Source organism: Homo sapiens, chromosome 5 (assembly GCF_000001405.40).
Source record: "Homo sapiens chromosome 5, GRCh38.p14 Primary Assembly".
Lineage (NCBI taxonomy): Eukaryota > Metazoa > Chordata > Mammalia > Primates > Hominidae > Homo > Homo sapiens.
Genome location: NC_000005.10, coordinates 50,956,566 through 50,970,946, shown reverse-complemented (window position 1 = coordinate 50,970,946; position 14,381 = coordinate 50,956,566). Strand labels below are relative to the sequence as shown.

At 44.0% G+C, this 14,381-nt stretch overlaps 2 long non-coding RNA genes across 2 annotated transcripts, besides 2 other annotated features; both read left to right on the top strand.

Annotated features, from left to right (window-relative positions):
* Positions 759–1,280: an enhancer, noted in NCBI's record as "H3K4me1 hESC enhancer chr5:50265501-50266022 (GRCh37/hg19 assembly coordinates)". NCBI's record gives its function as "activates a minimal SCP1, AML or CMV promoter by ChIP-STARR-seq in naive H9 embryonic stem cells {active_cell/tissue: H9 hESC(naive)}" and the evidence as "EXISTENCE:reporter gene assay evidence [ECO:0000049][PMID:30033119]".
* Positions 760–1,730, top strand: LINC02106 (long intergenic non-protein coding RNA 2106). Its single transcript, NR_104653.1, has 2 exons — positions 760–1,024; positions 1,370–1,730. It is a non-coding gene; the product is annotated as a long intergenic non-protein coding RNA 2106 (long non-coding RNA).
* A 1,644-nt stretch (positions 1,731–3,374) lies between these two features.
* On the top strand, positions 3,375–5,796 carry LOC124901181 (uncharacterized). Its single transcript, XR_007059131.1, has 2 exons — positions 3,375–4,061; positions 4,815–5,796. It is a non-coding gene; the product is annotated as an uncharacterized LOC124901181 (long non-coding RNA).
* Positions 7,306–7,843: an enhancer, noted in NCBI's record as "H3K4me1 hESC enhancer chr5:50258938-50259475 (GRCh37/hg19 assembly coordinates)". NCBI's record gives its function as "activates a minimal SCP1, AML or CMV promoter by ChIP-STARR-seq in primed H9 embryonic stem cells {active_cell/tissue: H9 hESC(primed)}" and the evidence as "EXISTENCE:reporter gene assay evidence [ECO:0000049][PMID:30033119]".

The window sequence follows — 14,381 nt, the reverse complement described above, 5'->3', positions numbered from 1 at the left end:
TAATTTAAAGCTCAATCATTTCTTGACTGAAGGATACTTATTGAGGAAGCTTCCATCATCAACCTCCGTTTAAAAAATTTCTTACTGTGTGGATTTTAATCAGGGCAATAAAAGGATCATCCACAAGCTCCACATCACTCAGCCATATTAAATTATGATGTAATCTAGTAAAAAAATCAATAAGTGAGACCCAGTAAGGAACCTGAGACTGTTCAAGACTAGAATGCAGGTAGGCACCATATGGCCAGAAATGAAGTGACTACGTATTATCTTCAACCAGGGACATTGGATTTACTCAGTTTCTTTGGGCTGGGCAAAAATGACCTTGTAATGCATTGAGTTATAGGCTAGCAGACATTAGGCACCACACTATCCCTTCAAGGTACGGTCTTTTTAACAAGTCCTAGGAAGGGCTGTTTGAGTTAATTCAGAGCCCGCAGAAGGGCTCACAACAACCTCCTTGTTTTGTCCTAACGTGAGCTGATCCTTCTTGCATCAGGTGGCTCCTCTGACTGTCCTGCCCTTTGGGTACTGGGCAATTAATCCACAAACGCAAAATCCTGAACCCTGGGCTAAGAAAATACGAACTGATTTGGTAAACAAATGATATGTAAAATCTATACGCACAGAGTGGCAAGTGACAAAGGAAATTGCAAATGCCCCTAAATGCTCTTTCCCATCGATTGGCAGAGAGAATCTAACACATACACAGAGGAGATGGAGCATAAAATTGGGCGGACTGACTCAGAGGTTTGTTTTGATTTTTAAATCATTTGTTAAAACTAAAAATGAGTGTGCGTACGCGTGGAGAGGGGGAACAAGGCTTCTCTAATCAGCAAAGGGGCTGTCGGCAGGCGATGTACAAATGAAAGCGCGCTTTCTAAATTTCCAAAGCACTAAAGGGAGAGAAATGCGCAATTACTGTGGGATTCGCCCAGAGGAGCAGCCTCAGGAGTTGAAGGGGATCCTGTCCCTCCCAGAGGAAAGCTCACGATTGGATTGGAACTTCTAGCGACTGCCTGAGGTGAGCTTCAGGTGGGGACCGGCCCCGCCAAGTCCGAGGCAGTTATCCACAAGAAAACACGCGCGTGCCCCCGCTGCTCCTGCGTGGTGGTCGTCCGGAGACAGGCGCCCTGCAGGGCATCTAGAGGGCCCCAAATGGCTCAGCCGGGCCCGCGGCGCAACAGGCTGCACAATAAATTAAAACAATAGTGAGAATAAGCAAATGGTCTGGAGGGCGGGCGGAACCGAAGCTCGCTCTTCGGAGCTGGAGTGCCGCGGGGAGGGGGGTGTCAGCGTCCCAGGGATGAGACCTTCCCCTCCCCCTTCCGCTCCCCGGCACCCCCTCGACCAGACGTCTCTTCCGTAGGCGCGTCCTCCGGGTCATGGGGAAACAGAGGCAGAGACTTGGGAAGGAGAAATGGAGAAACCAGGGCAACGTGGTCAGTGCTGCAGCGCCATCCCTTTTTCACTAAGACCACCCTGGGCCCCTGGGCGGGAAGCCCTTCGCACACTCCAGCCGGGGAGAGTCCGGGCTGGGTTCCGCAGCGCCTGTGGCTGTGTGGCCGGGAGGCTCCTTGCTCTCGCCCGCGTGGTCCTGAGATCGGTCGCTCGTTCCCACAGGCCCCGGGATTGGCTGCACCACGCAGCTGTTGTCCAGTTCCGGAGCTGCCGCGTTCAATCCGAGTCCCTCCGATGCTTTCACTGATATTAAAATTTCACTTTTCGAACTGGCCTTTTATTTATTTTTTTTTACGCAGTCGTTTTTGGGAGGCAACAACTCGGACATCCTGTATCCGTAATCAGATAATCTCACTCCTGCTTTTGTATTCCTGCAGCTTTAAACTCTGCAAATATTTGTGTCCTTCACAAAAAAAGGCGTTCCTCAGTCTACCTCCAACCTCGCCGGGCAACTTATCTTTCCCAAGTTCACAGCCTGACTCCGGATCTCTTGGTCTCTTGTGATCTTGCAGCAATTCAGCAGAAAAGACTCGGTTTGGGTTTTGGTTTGTGATGGCTAATAATGGGGGTTTTACCCCCCTGATGTTTGGGGGATTTGTGCTTGTTTTATGATTACTATTTTTCTTGTTTCCTGCAGTCAAGGAAAACTGTCTGTGTTACAAGCAAACTTACTGTCCCCTGCCTCAGGGACGTGAGTTCCAGTCCTGGACACTTTACTTTCTCTCTCTCCGGTCTTCCCTGGCCCACGGTCAGTTTCTTAACTCTCCTTGTCCTTGATCTTTTCCCGAAATGCCTGGACCCTCGCCTTAGCCCCTCCTCCGATTTGCCCCTTTCTTTAATTTGTCTTGTGTGTTAGCGCTGGGTCAGCGCGCCCTTTGTGCTGAGGTCCTGGGCCGGTGTGTGTGTGTGCGTGCGTGCGTGTGTGTTGTAGTGTGTGTTTCTTTTGTTATTTTCTCCCCTAACACCGCAGAAATGAAACACACATGCAGCTCTGTCGCCTCATATTTTCAGATGTTTTTCACACTATTGTCTGCTCCAGCCCGTTGAAAGTGCAAAGTGAAAACAGATGCATCCAAAAAATTTTTTTTGAAAGGGACAATCCTAGGATGGAGACTAACCCCTCGAATACAGATAAGCAATAAATATTGTATCAGATTTATAACGTGCATCGAGCAGTCTTGATTAGCACCAAGGTGAGCTTTGGTGAGATTTTTATCATTTCCATGTGTCTGGACTACAAGAAGAAATCACTGGGGGAAGAGCTCTATAAATCAGCGTCCATGTCAAGACAAATCAAAATAATGCCTCTATTATTTCAATCAATAAACCATTTTTATTCCCAACATCTGATACACACAGTGTGTGTCCGTCTGTTTGTATTTGGAATTGGCAGCCTTGCCTTATACCAAAACAAACCTTTCAAGACGTGTCAATGAAATTAAAATTTTTAAAAGGAGAATTCAATGTGACCCTCCTTCCCTTTCGAGCTACTCCATTCTCCCCTTTTTAAGCCGCACACCCCAAGTCAGTAGGAGAGCTTTGCAACTCTGCAAAGGATGAAATTGCTTTGAGAATTTCAGAGAAAAGGGGTGGCGGGTGCTATTAGGGAAGAGAAACCGAAAGCGGCGACAGGCAACGACTGGGACTGAGGAAAGCCTCCCTGGCTCCTGGCTCCAAGATATTCCAGAGGACGGTCCTAGGGCGGTCTCAGGAGGGTGTGACAGGGTGCTCCCGCGCTCTGCTAAAAACCAAAACCACCACCTCCCACCACTGCCACCAAGATTTTTCCAGCAGGTGTAAGGCTGACTGGCTGTAGGGCGTTAATTGGGGCGAGGCTAGCTGGAGAAAGATGGGGGGCGGGGGCGGGAGACGAGGAAGAGTGGGGGAGAGGAGGGAAGAAAGGGAGAGAGAGAGAGCGACTGACTCTGGTTGACTGGCGGGTGGCTTTTGTTAGTTTCAGGCAGATTTCAAGACTTGTTTCTCAAAATGTCCTGCAATTTTGGCTTCCGCGGCAGTTTGTGAGATGGGGCCACAATTCTTGATTGATGATAGGAAAGTAGAGAAGGAGAGATGATTCGTCTATGAGTCAACATTGTCGATAGCTAGAGTCTTGGTATTCCCATAGCTTCCTTGGTTATTTTGTTTCCAAATTTGCACACCCAGGAACCAAATCTCAATGATCCTTTTGTTGCTGAAGGTTCATCCTCTCCTGTTCCATCTGTCCGCCATAAACACATAATTCTGACTGCCCCATTCCTAATCCATTTCTTTCCTTTGGAATGGGAAGAAGGAAATGAAAAGTACTCCCAGATGGAAACCGAAACGGCGTCAGATCCAGAATAGTCTTTGTTTGGATTCAACAGCTGTCTGCCCACCACGCCCTCAGTCCCCAAGTCCAAAGCGCATCCTCGGGGTTTCATTTGAGAAAGGGAGAAAAAAGAAACACTTCAAAATCTGTATTTTTACAAGCAGGATTTCACAATCCTTGGGAACTTTGAGACTTGAATGGTTAATCTCTCAGACGAAATTATCACCCCAACGACTGTTCACAGATTAGTCGATGCAAATGTTAAAAACGTGTTGGCAAGCTGGATGAGCAGGTTTGTATTTTACCCTGAAAAGCTTCATGATTTCTCTCCCTGACTCGCTCCGTTCCTTCCCTCTCAGCCTCAGTGCATTGTATGTTGAAGGGGCGGGGGAGGGAGAGATGGGGAAAGCTTAAGCGATGGGAACCTTGAGGCCCAGGGATTTCAAGGAAAGCGAAATGAACCAGGCAGGGAGGTGCATGTTCTCTGTTCATTTCTTTCTCTAATGCGTCTCTCCTCCGGGTCAGAGCGCTAATGACTACCTCGTTCCTACGATTTAGGACGCGGGTGCTTTCACACGAAAGACACGAGGTCCTCTAGTTTTTCCTTCTTCGCTCCTCTAGCTTCTTTTTTACCCTCTTCCTTTCCTTCCTCCCTGGCCCCGAGCCCCCACCCCCTACACACACACACACACACACACACACACACACACACACACCCGTCTCCGAGCTCTGCCTCTCCTTCCCCAGTTTCCACTCCCCTGTAGTTTCCCTCTCCTTCGCCTCCTACTTTCCAGGAGGGATTTCTAATCCCATTCTAGTGCTGCCTGAAGGCACGTTCCGCTTTCCAAAGGCCTTTTTCTGTTCCCTTTCAGGTCATGGATTCAGGAGCCCAGGAATAAACCTAAAGCTTTTTTTCCTAACCGTTCAGATCGAAGGACTTTCGAGGTCCTCCTCAGTTCCACTTTTGCACACCTTAAGCTGCCCCCGTCGACTTGGCAACGTGTCCCGCGGTATTGTTCCTTTCATATTTTCTGTTTCTTAACAGGCAAACGCACATAAGGGTCCCCAGATGCAGCGAATGAACAGGTTTTCCTCGTAAAAATGATGGAGGTGAAGGTGGGGATGGGGGTGCTCTCCTCACTCCGGAATCTGAAGCGGGAGAGAGCTGGATAAACCGCCGAGATGACCTAAGTGGTCTGAGGCGACCAGCAGCGCGTCCACAGTGGAGGACCCAGGCCTCGGCTCAGACATGGCCTGCTCCGCTCTTTCCCTAGGCTCCTCTGCAACATCAGGCAACCAAGGCCTGCGCTCTCCTTTTCCTGAGGAGACTCCCTGGAACCTTCAAGAACCCCCCGACAGCCACCAGGATACCCGGTCTGAATGGTTTCCTACCAAGAAAGACCCCGAAGACCTGCAGTTCTGTCCAGAAACGAGTTTTTAGGGTCACTTGAATTTGAGCTGCTGCGAGGGCGGTGCTTTAGGGAGCAGAGTTCAAAGAGGAATTCCTCAGGACCCTAGGCCAGGTCCGCGTTAAAGGGCGCCTTACAAACCTCCTCTCCCCACACTCCCCCGCAGCCCCTTCCCCAACGTTTAAGGCACCGGATCTTGAGAAGCAAATCTAGTGCCCAGCTTCAAATCCCCGCCTTGGAAAAGTACAAAGAGAAAACTGATTTTTCAAATCCCAAAGCCCTTTCCTTTTAAGCAACTTGGAAAAACTCAGCTATAAACGCTTTCTCCTCTTATGCTAAAATTGAAAACTTATAGATTTTAGATGGAATGAAGAGAAGATATATTCCTTTTCCCTTTAAATAGCCACATTTCAAATTGTGCCAGGCAGCAATTTCTGCGAAAAAGGAGTGGCGGTTGGGATTGTTTGGGAGATGGAGTTTTATTTGTTCCCATTTATTTTGTTTTATTTTTGTTTTATTTTTTTCTTTGAGTTTCTTTGTTATTTTGAGATTCATCTAAGAGACTCAGAATTCCACTCTGAATAAAGCACTTTTTGTTGTTTCAAAATTTCAAACTGACATAAGTGTTGGATCATCAGTTTTCCCTTTGTCTGCCCTAGTTGTAAATAATGGCTTTGAGATTAGCTAATTAAGGGGCATTAATCACTGATAGAAAGGGAATAAATCAAAGCCTTGTTCTAAATTTCAAACTTGCCTGTATAGATGTGCATAGCTACTCTATCTGGAGCAGATAGGTGCTGTTTGAATTACTGTTCTTCAGAGTAAACCAAATCCACTTCGCTTTTAAAAAATGAATATTGTATTTATACAGCCTGGTTGTGCTGTTAAATTAAGTCTCTCTCCATTCTTATTCCGTTTCATAAACAAAGTGTAGAGACGACAGCGATTACGGGTTAAAAGAGCCCAATCTTAGCTTTTGCCTGGCATTATGCTTACCTTTTTGAGGGTGGGGAAGTCAGAAAAGGGAGGAATAAACCCTAAGCGGATACACATGGAAGGGGGATAAACAGATATGTATTGAGGTTTGTTTTTAATCAGAATACACTTTCTGTAGAAAATTTTCAAATCTTGCAGTATTTCAGGTATAATTCGCTAGAATACATTCCCTTAGCCCCCTGTGTAAGACATGAAAAACATTAGGTTCTGGTTTGTGAAAAAGAAAAGCAAGCATTCAGGGCGTGAGTGCGTGCGTGTGCGTGTGCGTGTGTGTGTGTACTGGAAAGAATAAGGCTCCTCTCTTCACTGCCTTTTGCTGCTGCAGTGATGCTCATTGCAGTTCGGCTGGTTCCACGCTCATAGCCCGGCACAGGGTTTGGGAGCTTGGACCATTTCAACACCGACAAAAGAGGCTTTTAAATAAGTACATGCCATAAAACAACAAGCCGGTCCCTGGGAGCAAGTAAAAATTTATTCGTTTCACGTAAAGCCCTCCGAAACAGTAAACACAGAGCAGATAATCCAGAGCCAGGCGGGGGATCTGCATCCTCTCGGCTTCGCGTCGGTGCCCGCGCGTGTGCGCGGCTGTGCGCGCACCTCGGCCTCTGCGGGCACCTCTCCCTCAACCCCCTCCCCAACCTTTGCAAGTGAAGACTTGTGTGTTGGGGTTCCTCACACCCTCCTCCTCCTGTGGGGCCTTGTCTCGGCTTAGCAGAGACTGTCATCTGAGGGCTCGGTTCAAGACTCCTGACTGGGAAATGTGCGGGTCTGGAAGGCAGAGTGGAGTCCCTGGGGCGAACTGGGAGAACTGCCCCTTTCTGCCAGAAAAGCGCCCCAGCCACGGGTTTGCCCCCGCACCGCCCCCCCCCCCCCGCCCCCCCACAACCTCCCAAGAGCTGCTGGTTGGAGAAAACGCCACTTCCCAGTCCCTAAGTCTCCCCACGTGTTGGGTTCCGTCCTTAACTGGACAGTGCTGGCTGCCAAAGGCAGGTGCCAATTCCCCAGAAGCTAAATCCTTCTAATAGCCTCAGCTTGCACACGTCTCTCCCCTCCTTCGGTTGCCGCTGCTTCTCCTTTTTCATTTTTTATTTTTAAAGTCAAGAACCTTATCACTGGTTTTAAGGTACCGTGCCATTAAAAAGAGGCTCGCAGTCTGCGGCGCGAGATCGAGGGGCCCAGGGAGAAAGGGGCCCGGGCGGAGGAGGAGCGGAGGCCAGGGAAGCCACATTTGCATAAAGCTTTGTCTTTCCTGCTTCTTAGGCTGCCGAGGGTTATAACGCTAATTACACAAGATTAATGTGGAGATTGTTCTCTATGGCTCACCAAGATTTATTTGAACAGTGAACTGCTCAAGATCCAAAGCCATAAACCATCCCACCCAGCCGCCGGCCCCCCGACTTTCTCCTTGCGGGAAGTGAAGTTTTTCCAAGTCCAAAGGAGAAAACGGGGAGCTGCCACTGGGTAGGAAGCTCCGAAGAGCTCATCTTGAGGGATATTGTTGTTTACACGAATTATCCGTCGGCCCTCGGATATACAAAGGCAATTCCCTGCCTTTTCTCTTTCTGCCGGCTTCCAAACGAAAGCCTTTTCTGCGGTGTTGTCTCTAAATTTGGGGGATGAGAGGCGGCCAATGAGCAAATCCGGTGCAGGAGCGCCCCCTCGTGGCTTCAAGGGGAAGGGACGCGGTTCTCGGCGTGCCCTCTGAGTTTGAGCGGTCTGATGCTGTCCCTCAGCGGATTAGAGTGGGATAGGGTTGAGTGCTGAGACTGGGAAAGCGGTTCTCAACCGCGGTTCACACTAGTATTCTAACCGAAATAGTAAACACACACACACACACACACACACACACACACACACACACACACACACACGACCACCTTCAGGGATTCTGATATTCTTAGGCAATTTTTTCTTTTCCCAGATAATATAATATGCTATCACTGTAGAGAACCAATATTTGAGAATTTCCTGGTTAGAGTGCAAGTGAAAAAGTTAACTGGCTTAATATTTAACTTTTATATATCATTTGATATTTACTTATTTTACCTAGAAAACCACAGGCCCACCATTATTTCCTGGGCTACTTGGGAGATATTATTTGAAAGATATTTTTTTTCAGGTTATTGGAAAAGTGATTTGAGTTTCAGTATTTGAAATTTTAAGATTTTTAAGACTAGGTTCTTGTTTCCTTCCTTCTTTCCTTGGGGTAAAATATATGTAGTGTTATCAATAATGATAAAAATAGAATTAATATAAAATTATAATTGTGAGGAGGGCAAGTAATAGCAGTCCACCACTCTAAGGTGGACACCAGATTCTTATTGCAGTAAGTTGTTGGTTGACTCACTTTGGACAATTCTTTTAATCAAGCTGTGCCTCAATTTCCTCTTCCACAAATGAAGTGAACCCATTGGATAATTTTAAGTTACCTTCTAGATTTAGTGAATGTGTAAACCTAAAGCACTAGAGAAAACACATGTTACTAAAAAGTTTGCAGATATAGGCTTTATATGTTATATTCATCCTTTCAAAGAGGAATTATTATTATAAATCCAGATTTTTGAAATGTGGCCTTTTCTATAGTCAAGGCATATCCAGAATTTTTTGTCTGGTACCAAAAAAAATCATATAAACATTAGAGAAATATAGCACAAACTTACACTAAAATAAAATTAAGCAACCTATCATTACTGCTCCATTCATCCAACCAGTCCTGCAATTCAGGCATAGTATTTTTGATAGTTTTGCTACTGTCTCCGCAAATGAATTGATATTTAAAAGGGAAGAAAACGCTGAATTTTTCTTCCACTGCACTCCAGCCTGGGCAAAAGAGCTGAATTCCATCTCAAAAAAAAAAAAAAAAGGAATATGAAATTGGAATTCAAATAAAGGTAGGCCTTATTTGTGGTTAGAATGGAGAACTGTGCCCATCACCATCTTTACATCATCTGCTTTACCACTCCAGCTAAGTGGTGAGCAGATACTTGTGATTAACTGCCCTTTGAGGGGCTTCAGCATGAAATATTTGAGACCCTTTCTGGGTTTCAGTTCTCAAGAACCAGATGTGCATCACCGAGACACTTTAGCAGAGGAGGCTGTGATTATTGGTATCAGCAGAAAAATGTGTTTTGGGAAGGCACCAATTAAAGGTGAAGTATCTCAAAGGAAACAGAAAAAAATTGTAAACAGCAACAGAACATGATGTTTTCACTTTGTTAATTCTCATCAAGAATCACAACACAATATAGCACTTAGATGCTCGATGGTTACATCAACACTCATATTAATATCTTTTAGTAAAATAAAGTATCAATCATATGAAAAATACAGTTTTTAATCATAAGCGGTAATTATTTTTAAGGTTACAGAGAGAATGAACATTTCAAAGACACAAGCACTGAAGCTGTTCACATCCCATACCTCATTTATGACAGCAACTTCAGAACTGGCTTATCTGGGCTATGCGTCCCAGCCTTTTGCATTTTTTCCTAGTAAATAAGCACTAGTTTGATTAAGGGACTTGCTTTGAAGTCTTGCTGGTATTTGAGATTTTCACAGTATTCTTGGCAACTTGGTTCCAAAAATGTTGTTTTATGATTACTTAAAAAAAATGTATCTGTGATGTTTAAGCAAAACAATAAGAGTTCATAAATAATTTGCTTTCATTTTATGGTAGTTTACATGATAATGTGACATAAAGAAGAGAATGTGCTTGAGTGTGTACAGGCATGTGTACAGCAATAGTAGTGGTGGTAGCACACACAGGTTGGGGTAACTGACCACTTCATGACACCTGCTATGAGAACTCCACCTCCTGCCACAGACCTGAACCTGGGCAGCCAGATTTTCACTATGCAACCAATCTAACCACCATTACCTCTGCCTTCTCCCTGCCCACAACTGACTGGAAAGGGATGAATCTCTTTTACAAGGATTCGGAGAAATCAAAGTCTCTCTCCCAGCACTTTGGGAGGCTGAGGTGGGCGGATCACCTGAGGTCAGAAGTTCGAGACCAGCTTGGCCAACATAGTGAAACCCTGTCTCTACTAAGAATACGAAAATTAGCTGGGCGTGGTGGCAGGTGCCTGCAGTCCCAGCTACTTGGGAGGCTGAGGCAGGAGAATCACTTGAACCTGGGAGGTGGAGGTTGCAGTGAGCCGAGATTCCCGCCACTGTGCTCCAGCCTGGGCAAAAAAGCTGAACTCCACCAAAAAAAAAAAAGAGAAAGAAAGAAAGAAAGAATGAAAGAAAGAAAGAGGAAGGAAGGAAGGAAATATGAAATTGGAATTCAAATAAGGTTAGACCTTATTTGTGATTAGAATGGAGAACTGTGCCCATCGCCATGTTTACATCATCTGCTATGTGCTATTGTTTAGCATCGGTCCTTGGTCAGACTGAGCTAATCTTCCTAGGCATTTTGTCTCCATCTAAAGATAGAACTTTACGATTAGGAATTTCTGACACTTGCAGATGTTAGTGAGGATGTTTTGGAGACATTTCTCAAAATGTGTCAATGCCTTTGGGAATGTTCTTGAAGAGAGAAAGAAAATAAAATGTATTAAGAAGCAATTTATATGGGGCAAGCATTTCGATACAGTGTCCTACTTAATCCTCACATGGCTTGGTGCTAGGAGTAGTCATCCACGCCCACTTTGCAGTCAGGAAACTGGGAGTCAGGAATTTCATAACTTAAACCACAGCAAAGATTGTTATCCTAGGGCTGAAATGGCATTTGGAGACCAGTGGTTATAATTCCAGAATCTAAAGTTATTCTGCCATGTGTGTTTCTTTCTATCAGTTAGTTATTTTGACTACGTTGGAGGAATATTCAACTCCATCTAATTACTCACTGATCTAGGTGGGCATCAAGTAAAACAGATAATATCACAGCCAAGATGTACAGAAGTAAGTTGCAGTCTTTTTCAAAACCTGATTTACTAAGATCATTGCTTTGGTTTTCTCAGAAACCTAGAAGCTGGTCTTAATGTTGAATTATCTCTGTTATCTGCATATAGGTAGATTCCCCTGGATTATAATTACTCACAGGTAGTCACATTTCCCCTTTTCCAAGAAACTTACCCCTCCAACAAATTAAGACACATCCTTTTCCTTATAGTATTTTCATCCTTCTTATTTTGGGTATTTTTTATCAAAAGATCCAGATGCTCTGTCCTGTCTCATTTGTCCCATGCTATTGTCTCATTCTCAAAGAGCCATTCATGATGAATGAGCCTTTAATGTTTTCTTTACATATATCCTTCTTTCTTTGAAGGATGTTAATATTCTTCCATTAATATTTCTTCTGAGCCAAGAGACAGATAACGTCCAACTGGCATATTTCCATACTGGACTGAATGATAATTTTATAATAAATATTGCATGTCATTTCTTATTATAAAAATCTCTTTTCAGCATGCATGTCCATTTTGTAAGAGGATTAGCTGGGCTTTGCTGTGGGATACTTGAACTTTTGGTAAGCTTTTTCAATCCTTTCATTTAGTGGAAAGGTGATTAAAATGACAGAAAAGCATTTAAACTTAGTTATCATGATCAACCTTCCCAATAGCTTTCTTTTTCTATCACGTGCTTTAGCCAGAGGTAAGAGAGCAATCATCTTTGAGGGCCTTCTCTACCTGCATCCTACGAAAATGAGTTTTCTAGAATTTTCTCAGATATTCCAGTGGAAGTGTTTCTTATAGTATCCTTTGCTGCCACCTGCTGTTCAGCCTACATTTATGAAAGCTGTCAATGCTATCCATTGTTGATGGTGTATTTTCTAACGTAAGGGGTGGGTAAAGATAACAAAACTGATGCATTGCCAGATCCTGTCAAGTGATCACACTTAAACATGACCTTCGAACCAGTAGCTGCATTTAATGTTTGTAGAAATTTACTTCCTTTGTCACACTCTTAGTGTGACATAGTAGCATAATAACCTAAGAAATCCTATTTCTTTCTCCTTTCAAGAACAGCAGGCTGGTCGTTGAGGAAATCAGTCTTTAAGTTGTTGAGGCCAGAATTGTAAGCTGGAGCCACCATGTGTAACTGCAGTCCACTAATGAATTAATAGCATTTATTTGTACTCCATGCTTCCAGCTGCCCAACCTCCGCTTTGCTATCTTGGTTGCTTGTATCTTGGTTGCTTGTATCTTGGTTGCTTGGTTGCTCTCATCTTTCTGCCACACTCACTGTCAGGAGAGTTGGGCTGCAGTAAATGTTGCTTCCTTGCTGTTTCTTTACTCCCTTTGTGCTCCTTTATTACTGAGCAGGCTCAGTTCTCTAGCTTTGGAGTTATAAACTGGGTTCACAATACAGACTAAATACATGCTGTTCCTCAATCCTTTATGTGAATGCTAGGTGTTTAAGTGCATAAAATGTTACCTTTTTCTTATAAGTGTGCCCATCTCAGTAATTCATTTAGCAGGGAGGTCTCTCCCTAACATTGCTGGAGCATCTGCTAACATTGTAGTTCATTTTCTAGAGACAACACCTTAATGGCAGAAGTTGCATAGGCTAAATGACTTTTGTTTGTGACACTTTACAATTGTAACTAGAAAGAAATTCAACACAGCACTGGGTAAAAAAAATGCAGAGAATGATCTCTTGCTTTCTTCTTAAGCTCACCATCTTTCTCCATCAAACTCAGCAGCAGCAGCGGGAAGGTTACAGTTACTTTTGAGAACACTGCGGCTGATGCTTCTTGTACAAATATTCGCTTTCTTCATGACAGAACTCCTTTTCCAAATTTACATTCAGGCCAAGATAAGTCATCCAGCTCAACCATGCATTTCAAAACCACCTGGTATCCTCAAATGTTCTTGTGACCAGGCTTCTAAAATCCTGTAGGGCAAAAATCTAACAAAGAGAAGTCATCCGCAAAGGTCACTGCTTCCAAGTTCATCTTTGGCAGGATGTAGCTCTGTGCTGATATTAAAAAAAAAAATGTATCTAAAGTACAAGATATAGTTCTCTTTTGTGCAACATTCCCAAATCTGATTTGGCTTTCAAATTTATTGCAACCTTTAAAGGGGTGATTTTGGCAATGTTCTGGGGGTGGGGTTGATAACAGTCAAAAAGCTGTGGAAATGATTTAATGGTTCATGGCTTTGAAGTGCCTATGAAAGACATTTAACTAACTTTATATTTCTCCCTACATTTTCCCCAAAACGTGTATGTGTGGAAATTTTCCAAATTGCTTTTCCTTAAAGCACAGAGGACATCATTTTAGTGCTGGAGGGCAGAAATTTATTACTTTACAAGCTCCTTGCTTGCACATGTTTTTCTTCAGAGCTCACTGAAGTTACTTTTCCATCTTTTGCTAACAAACTGAAAAACTTCTTCTAATTTCTTCTTTGATATGTTATGAAGACAGCCCCCCACCCTTCCTCTATAAATCTTCCAGGTACTTTTAGTGCAGCAGCAGGATATATGAATCTAACTCAGGGAATTAGGAAGGGAGGGAGGGAGGAAGAATTAACATGTTAATCACTTATCTGATGCTAAGCACTAAGTGAGATCCTTCATGTCATATATATTTGCTCATTAAAATCATGAATTAATTTGATAAATACTTATTAAGATTGTACTAAGGTGGCTCAAAACTGTAAACCCAGCACTTTGGGAGGCTGAGGCAGGAGCAATCGCTTGAGCCCAGGAGTTTGAGACCAGCTTGGGCAACACAGGGAGATCTTATGTTTACAAAAAACTTAAAAATTAGCGAGGTGTGATGTTGTTTGCTTTTGGTCCCAGCTACTAGAGAGGCTGAGGTGAGAGGATTGTTTGAGCCTGGGAGGTTGAGGCTGCAGTGAGCTATGGTTGCGCCATTGTATTCCAGCCTGGGCAACAGAGCAAGACCCTTTCTCAGACCAAAAGGAAAAAATAAATAAATATATATATATATACACACACGCACACACACACACACTAAGAGCTGGGCATTCTTGGGACTGAGTACTAACCATAAACTAATTTACTGTCCAGTAGGAGAAACATACAAGTAAAAAGTCAAGGTTGATGCAATATCAAATGCTTTTGAGAGGCAGTTACAACACAGTGCTTGGAAATATGGACTTTGAAGACAGCCTATTTGGGTTGAATACAAATTCTGCTACTTGCTAGCCCTGTAATCTTGTGCAAGTTACTTCACCCTTGGACCTTTGTTGTCTCATCTGTGAATTAGGAATAAGAAGAGCATTTACTTCAATATG